Source organism: Homo sapiens, chromosome 8, assembly GCF_000001405.40.
Source record: "Homo sapiens chromosome 8, GRCh38.p14 Primary Assembly".
In the NCBI taxonomy this organism is placed as follows: Eukaryota; Metazoa; Chordata; class Mammalia; order Primates; family Hominidae; genus Homo; species Homo sapiens.
Window position 1 is genome coordinate 144,866,207 of NC_000008.11, and position 9,242 is coordinate 144,875,448.

Sequence of the window (9,242 nt, forward strand, 5' to 3'; positions counted from 1 at the left end):
GTGATCTGCCTGCCTTGGCCTCCCGAAGTGCTGGGATTACAGATGTGAGCCACCATGCCTGGCCAGGAATGGCTTTATTTATGCCAGCTAGGAGGCATATCATATGGCCTTATTTCTATCTGTCTGCAGAAGTTGCCTGATAATCCCAACTGGGGTCAGTTCTGGGGACAGTTAGGGTCCATATTGGGTTATGGGCAGCATCTTGTCTATGGGAGGGTGTCTACATGGGCCTGGGCAGCTATCCAGATGCATTCCCTGTCCTCAGGGGTGAGGGTGCAGGAGAGGATGACATATATGACATGCCAGGTAAGGTCATAAAATTGAGTGACATACAGAAATTCCTTGAGGAAGGAGGTGGGATCTGTGCAAAACGAGCTGAATCTCTTTTTTTTTTTGAGACAGAGTCTCGCTCTGTCGCCCAGGCTGGAGTACAGTGGCGTGATCTTGGCTCACTGCAAGCTCCACCTCCTGGGTTCACACCATTCTCCTGCCTCAGCCTCCCAAGTAGCTGGGACTACAGGCGTCTGCCACCACGCCCAGCTAATTTTTTGTATTTTTAGTAGAGACAGGGTTTCACTATGTTAGCCAGGATGGTCTCAATATCATGACCTCGTTATCAGCCTGCCTCAGCCTCCCAAATTGCTGGGATTACAGGTGTGAGCCACCACGCCCGGCCGCTGAGTCTCTTTTTAAGCTGAGAGAGGTCGACTAGGGAAAAGGGAACATGAACTCAGATTATGCCTTTAGTCCCTGTGACCTCCTGGAAAGGGAGAACTTAGGAGGACCTTTGGCTGTGTGCCTGGTTTTTGGTGGAAGGGGGCTGGGCACGTGCCTAGTTTGTTGGCTAGGTTGAAATTAGAGGAGAAAGGTTTGTCTGGAGGAGGAGGCGTTTTTGTGGGTTTTTTGTTGAGGAGGAAGATTTGAAAAGGTGAACGGGATTGGCAGAGAGAGAGTGAGCCAGGAGCACAGATAAGCAAAGCACCTCAGATCATTTACGATTGCACTGGAGGAAGTCTTTTAGATTATGTCAGATGTGGAAATTGAATGTTTTGGTTTTTGGCTATTGACTATTATTGTCTAGTTTACATTGGGGCTGGGCAACATTACAGAGGAAAGTAAGGTGTTCAGTTTTTTGTTTTTGTTTTTGTTTTTGTTTGAGACAGAGTCTCACTCTGTCACCCAGACTGGAATGCAGTGGAACGATCTTGGCTCACTGCAACCTCTGCCTCCCCGGTTCAAGCAATTCTCCTGCCTCAGCCTCCTGGGTAGCTGGGATTACAGGCACCTGCCACCACACCCGGCTAATTTTTGTATTTTTAGTAGAGACAGGGTTTCACCATATTGGCCAGGCTGGTCTCGAACTCCTGATCTTGTGATCTGCCCACCTTGGCCTCCCAAAGTGCTGAGATTACAGGCATGAACTATCACACTTGGCCAGCAAGGCGTTCAGTTTTAATGGAGTCTGCCAAGCCCTGGGCTTGGAGGTTCTGGATGGAAACATCCAAGAGTGGTGTCTTGAGGTTTTGAGGAGTGTTGCCCCATACTGCTGGCCAGAGGGTGAGAAATTTAGAGGATGGAAGTACCCCAGAGGGAAGTGAATACCCCGGAGGGGAGTGAGTACCCCGATTCCTCCTGGGAGAAGGGACCTAGGAGAGCCAGGGCGTCCCTACAGCTCTTTGCAGACCCCCAGAGGCTGCAGTGGCCAAAGTGGTGAGCATTCTGACGGCGTCCCCTGAGAGGGTAGGCCACGGTCACCTGGTGACCAGGGAGACCTCTCACCTGGTACTGGAATTTTCTGGTGAACCCCCAGAAATATGAGAGGAATCTGGAGAGGAAAAAAAGAGAGACTCACCCACTAATTGGAGACGGGTGTTGGATGTGATGTCCAGCAATGGGATTGATACTTGCTGGAGCTGCCTGGAAAGGGGAAGGAAGGAAAAAGAGGATGGAGAGTTTGATCAGGATCTGGAAGTCAGCCCAGGACCAGAGAAGAAGAGAGAATAAAGGAACGGAGCTGGGAATAGGGAGTCCATTCAGGATCTGGAAGCAGGCCTGGGTCTGGTTTTTGCTGCTTGCTGCTTTCCAGGTTGCTAGAAAACATTTACCCATTTAGAACCCAATTCCTATCCTGGGTTTTGGCACTAAAATGTTAGGTTTTGAAGGGAGGGCAAGGGCTAAAGAAACACACACACACACACACACACACACAGAGAGAGAGAGAGGAGAGAGAGGGGGGAGACAGACAGAGAGAGAGAGAGAGATTGTTGCTCAACAGCAACAACACAGGTATATTGCAAAAACCTGTGGAGATGGGGGACGAGCTTAACTCCAGAGCCCATAGCTGCTTATAGGCTGGGGAAATTTATAGGTGTGATGGTTAATACTGGAGAAATGTGAAAAGGCCAGACTGGCCTACCCTCCCAGCCTACATCTTTCTCCCATGCCGGATGCTTCCTGCCCTCCAACATCTGACTCCAAGTTCTTCAGTTTTGAGACTTGGACTGGCTCTCCTTGCTCCTGAAGCTTGCAGACAGCCTATAGTGGGACCTCGTGATTGTGTAATTTAATACTTCCCTTTTTATATATATTCCATTAGTTCTATCCCTCTAGAGAACTCTGACTAATACAGATTTTTGTACCAGGAGTGGTTCTGGAGGAAGAGGATATTAAGGATGGAGTTCTGTCATTGGTTTTGGGGTTTCTGGATTTGGCTGGTTAATATGATTAGACCCCAAAATGTTAAGGACTCTACTTCTAATAGTATGGAGAACACTGATAGTCCTTGGCATAAACTGTTTAGAGAGTTATGCAAAATAAATGCATTTGACACTCCTGATTCACCATTCATGAGAGGCAAGGAGTTTAGTGACCCTATACATAATATCTTTGACTATATGTGGAGAACCAAGGAACATGATGAAGCTGGTTGGTTGCTCCTAAGTTCAGTGGACAAAGTGATGAAAGAAAATGATGGCTGGGCTGGGCACAGTGGCTCACGTCTGTAATCCCAGCACTTTGGGAGGCTGAGGTGGGAGGATCATGAGGTCAGGAGATCAAGACCATCCTGGCTAACACAGTGAAACCCCATCTCTACTAAAAATACAAAAAATTAGCCAGGCGTGGTGGCAGGCGCCTGTAGTCCCAGCTACTCGGAAGGCTGAGGCAGGAGAATGGCATGAACCCAGGAGGTGGAGCTTGCAGTGAGCTGAGTTCGCACCACTGCACTCCAGCCTGGGTGACAGAGCGAGACTCCGCCTCAAAAAAAAAAAAAAACAAAAAAAAAAAGAAAGAAAACGATGGCTGGGCATGATGGCTCATGCCTGTAATTCCAGCACTTTGGTAGTGTGGGCGGCAAGCCACCCAGGTGCTGAGGCAAGAGACCGAGGGCACGAGCTGTTCCAGTATAATAAAATATATAAAACAACAAGTTATACTAGATCAGATCACAGACATGATTATATATGAATATCATTAATCATTAGTTTGTAGCAATTACTCTTTATTCCAATATTATAATAATCCTCACTCTATAATCATAACCTAGGAAAAACCAGGCCATACAGATATAGGAGCTGAGGGGACATAGTGAGAAGTGACCAGAAGACATGAGTGTGAGCCTTCTGTTATGCCCAGACAGGGCCACCAGAGGGCTCCTTGGTCTAGTGGTAACGCCAGCATCTGGGAAAACGCCTGTTGCCAAGTAGACCGTGGTCTAGCAGTAGCGTCAGTGCCAAGGAAAAATACCTGCTACTTAGCAGACCGGGAAAGGGAGTGTCCCTTTCCCTGGGGGAGTTTAGAGAAGACTCTAGTCCTCCACCTCTTGTGGAGGGCCTGACATCAGTCAGGCCTGCCCGCAGTTATCCAGGGGCCTAACCGTCTCCCTGTGATGCTGTGCTTCAGTGGTCACGCTCCTAGTCTGCTTTCGTGTTCCATCCTGTACACCTGGCTCTGCCTTTTAGATAGCAGTAGAAAATTAGTGAAAGTACTAAAAGTCTCTGATATGCAGAAATAATGGTGTAAGCTGTCTCTCTCTCTCCCTCTCTCTCTGCCTCGGCTGCCAGGCAGGGAAGGGCCCCCTGTTCAGTGGACACATGACCCACGTGGCCTTACCTATCATTGGAGATGGCTCACACTCCTTACCCTGCCCCTTTGTCTTGTATCTAATAAATATCAGTGCAGCCTGGCATTTGGGACCACTACCGGTCTCTGCGTCTTGGTGGTAGTGGTCCCCTGGGCCCAGGTGTCTTTTCTTTTCTCTTTGTCTTGTGTCTTTATTTCTATGCTCTCTCATCTCCGCACACGGGGAGAAAAACCCACCGACCCTGTGGGGCTGGTCCCTACAGGTAGGCCAAGGTGGGTGGATCACCTGAGGTCAGGTAATTAATGGAGTTTTAGCTCAGGTCCAACTTACAGCGGGTCCAGTGGGTCCCCAGACTCATCCTGTGGTCATTTTCCAAGTGCCAGGATGCATAATTGGCATAGACATACTTAGCAGCTGGCAGAACCCCCACATTGGCTCCTTGACTGGTAAAGGCTATTATGGTTGGAAACGCCAAATGGAAGCCATTAGAGCTGGCTGTACCTAGAAAAGTAGTAAATCAAAAACAATATTGAATCCCTGGAGGGAACATGGAGATTAGTGCTACTATCAAGGACTTGAAGGACACAGGGGTGGTGATTCCCACCATCTCCCTGTTCAACTCTCCCATTTGGCCTGTGCAGAAGACAGATGGATCTTGGAGGATGACAGTGGATTATGATGAGCTTAACTAAGTAGTGACTCCAATTGCAGCTGCCGTACCAGATGTGGTTTCATTGCTGGAGCAAATCAACACATCTCCTGGTGTTGGGAACAGGCCCCCCAAAATCTGGCCATAAACTGGCCCCAAAACTGGCCATAAACAAAATCTCTGTAGCACTGTGACATTTTCATGATGGCCATAACGCCCACGCTGGAAGGTTGCAGGTTTACAGGAATGAGGGCAAGGAATACCTGGCCCACCCAGGGCGGAAAACCGCTTAAAGGCATTCTTAAACCACAAACAATAGCATGAGCGATCTGTGCCTTAAGGACATGCTCCTGCTGCAGTTAACTAGCCCAACCTATTCCTTTAACTTGGCCCATCCCTTCATTTCTCATAAGGGATACTTTTAGTTAATTTAATAACTATAGAAACAATGCTAATGACTGGCTTGCTGTTAATAAATACATGGGTAAATCTCCGGTTGGGGCTCTCAGCTCTGAAGGCTGTGAGACCCCTGATTTTCCACCTCACACCTCTATATTTCTGTGTGTATGTCTTTAATTCCTCTAGTGCTGCTGGGTTAGGGTCTCCCTGACTGAACTGGTCTCGGCAAGTGACGTCCATTGTGGGGGCTCGAATCCAGGTTGAAGGGTCACTGGAGCAACGGAGAATGTGGAACTAAGCTGGAGGACACCCAAGTACTCTTAAAGCCATCCCTGTGGTGAGTAAGGGGAGCTCAGAAGCATCAGGGTAACAGTGGGACAAATGTGGGGTCTGGTGCGTTCTCCCTTGGAACTTTTTCACACTGATGATGAGGAGGAAGGAGAGTAAAACGAAGTAACAGAAGAGGTTACAGAGCAGGTTTATTTGCCAATTTGCCAGCTAAAGCTCAAGCGGCAAAGGAGGGAGAGGTTCATCCCTACCCTTCTGCACCCCCTCCTTATTATTTTGAAGAAAAAGACCCTCCAGATCTTTCTTTTCCAGAGGACATTGGGTGAAAAGTAGTTGCCCCAGTGACTGAGCAATGCCTTGAGCAACTGCTCTTAGTTCTATTCAGGCAGGAATTCAGCAAGCTAGATGAGAGGGCGATTTAGAGGCTTGGCAATTCCCTGTTAGAATACACCCCCCAGATCAACAGGGAAATATTATAGTTACATTTGAGCCTTTTCCTTTTAAATTATTTAAAGAATTTAAACAAGCTGTTAATCAGTATGGACCAGGTTCTCCTTTTGTAATGGGACTGTTAAAGAATGTTGCTGTTTCCAGTTGGATGATTCCTACTGACTGGGATGCTCTTACTCGAGCTTGTCTAACTCCTGCTCAGTTCTTACAATTTAAAACTTGGTGGGCAGATGAAGCTTCCATTCAGGCTGCTCGCAATGCCCAGGCCCAAATTAATATAACTGAAGACTAACTTTTGGGGGTTGGCGGCTGGGCTGGTTTAGATGCACAAGTGGTCATGCAGGATGATGCCATAGAACAACTTAGAGGAGTGTGCATTAGAGCTTGGGAAAAAAATCACTTCATGTGGAGAACAATACCCTTCCTTTAGTGCAGTAAAACAGGGACCAAAAAAACCATACATGGATTTTATAGCTCGGTTACAGGAGTCTCTTAAAAAGGTAACTGCAGATTCGACTGCTCAGGATATAGTGTTGCACTTATTAGCTTTCAACAATGCTAATCCCGACTGCCTGGCAGCTCTGCGACCTATCAGAGGGAAAGCACATTTAGTTGATTATACCAAGGCCTGTGATGGTATTGGAATTAATCTGCATAAGGCTACTCTGCTAGCACAGGCAATGGCAGGACTAAGAGTGGATAAAGGAAATATTCTATTTCCTGGAGCTTGTTTTAACTGTGGGAAGCATGGTCATACTAAAAAAGAATGTAGAAAAAATCAGCGAGTTATGCTGCCAGATAGGGGAAAAGAGAAAACTGTTGAGCCTGAAATATGTCCAAAATGTAAAAAAGGAAAACACTGGGCTAGTAAGTGTCACTCTAAGTTTGATAAAGATGGTAACCCGATTTCGGGAAACGCCATGAGGGGCCCATCCCAGGCCCCATTCTAAACCGGGGCATTTCCAGCTCAGGCCATTCCCTCACCCCTGTACAATGTCTGTCCTCTGCCACAGCCAGTAGTGCCACAGTTGATTTATGCTGCACAAAAGCTGTGAGCCTTCTGCCTGGGGAACCCCCACAAAAGGTCCCAACAGGAGTCTGTGGACCCTTGCCAGCAGGGATGATAGGATTACTTCTAGGCAGGTCTAGCTTAAATTTAAAAGGGGTACAAATACATACAGGAGTCATTGATTCAGATTACAATGGGGAAATTCAAATTGTTATATCTACTTCTGTTCCCTGGAAAGCAGAGCCAGGAGAGTGCATAGCACAGCTCCTGATTGTGCCATATGTGGGAATGGGAAAAAGTGAAGTTACATGAACAGGAGGATTTGGAAGCACAAATAAACAAGGCAAAGCAGCTTATCGGGTAAAGCAAGTTACTGATAAACGTCCTACCTGTGAAATAACTATTCAGGGAAAGAAATTTAAAGGTTTGGTAGATACAGGAGTGGACATTTCAATCATTTCTGTACAGCAGTGGCCGTCCACGTGGCCAATTCAACCCACCCAATTTAACATAGTTGGAATTGGTAAAGCCCCTGAAGTATATCAAAGTAGTTATATTTTGCATTGTGTAGGGCCTGATGGACAACCTGGTACTATCCAACCAGTTATAACTTCTGTACCTATAAATTTATGGGGGAGAGATTTATTACAACAATGGGGAGCACAAGTTCTAATTCCAGAACAATTATATAGCCCTCAAAGTCAACATATGATGCATAAAATAGGGGATGTAATTGTCATGAGTATTTTTCCTTCTTTTGTTAAAAACATGTTTGTGTTGGCCAGGCGCGGTGGCTCATGCCTGTAATCCCAGCACTTTGGGAGGCCGAGACGGACGGATCACGAGGTCAGGAGATCGAGACCATCCTGGCTAACACGGTGAAATCTCATCTCTACTAAAAATACAAAAAATTAGCTGGGCATGGTGGCGGGCACCTGTAGTCCCAGCTACTCAGGAGGCTGAGGCAGGAGAAAGGCATCAACCCGGGAGGCGGAGCTTGCAGTGATCTGAGATTGCGCCACTGCACTCCAGCCTGGGCAACTGAGCGTGACTATGTCTCGGGAAAAAAAAAAAAGTTTGTGCATGTAAACACTTGTACTAAGAATATCTTCATTTTATTTCATTTTCCTTTATCACGTGACATAAGATTTATTGACTTCATATCAGCATTTAAGTATTGTTAACTTTATGTAATAGCATTTGGGTTGGGGATTGGTTTGTTTCCAGTTGTACAAAAGATAGTTGTATTATGTTAGGTATAATTATGACCTTATTAGTGTCTTTATTTGAAGATTATGTATGATCTCAGGAGATGTGTATGGGTTCAAGTTGACAAGGGGTGGACTTGTGATGGTTAATACTGAGTGTCAACTTGATTGGATTAACAAATGCAAAGTATTAATCCTGGGTGTGTATGCGAGGGTGTTGCCAAAGGATATCAACATCCGAGTCAGTGGGCTGGGGAAGGCAGACCCACCCTTAATCTGGTGGGCACCATCTAATCAGCTGCCAGTGAATACAAAGCAGGCAGAAAAACGTGAAAAGGAGACTGGCCTGGCCTCCCAGCCTACATCTTTCTTCCATGCTGGACGCTTCCTGCCCTAGAACATCGGACTTCCAAGTTCTTCCATATATATATATATATATATATATATATTTCTATTAGTTCTGTGCCTCTAGAGAAGCTTAATACACACTACTACCACCCAAAAGTTTCCCCCACTCCAGGGCAAGTCCAACTCCTAGACAAGAAATTCCCAGCTTCTATCACCAGGTCCTCTGTACACTGAGTGGCCGTTGGTGGCCAGAGATTTCCCAGCCTGTTTTCTGGGAATGCCCCCTCTCTCTCAGGGATGCCTCAGGGCTGCCTGGCACATGCCAAGCCCAGTGTGCTGTCATCTTTCTCCAGAGAAGGTGAGAGGTGACAGCATGCTGGCAGCCCTTGCTTGCTCTCGGTGCCTCCTTGGCCTTGGCGTCCACTCTGGCTGTGCTTGAGGAGCCCTTCAGCCTGCCGCTGCACTGTGGAAGCCCCTTTCTGAGCTGGCCAAGGCTGGAGCCGGCTCCCTCAGCTTGCAGGGAGGTGTGGAGGGAGAGGCGTGGGTGGGAACCAGGGCTGCGCACGGTGCTTGTGGGCCAGCGTGAGTTCCGGGTGGGCATGGGCTCAGCAGGCCCCGCGCTCGGAGCTGCTGGCCGGCCTGCAAGCCCTGGGCAGTGAGGGGCTTAGCACCTGGGCCAGCAGCTGCTGTGCTCGACTTCTCACTGGGCCTTAGCTGCCTCCCCATGGGGCAGGGCTCGGGACCTGCAGCCTGCCATTCCTGAGGCTCCCCCTGCCCGCCGTGGGCTCCTGCGTGGCCTGAGCCTCCCTG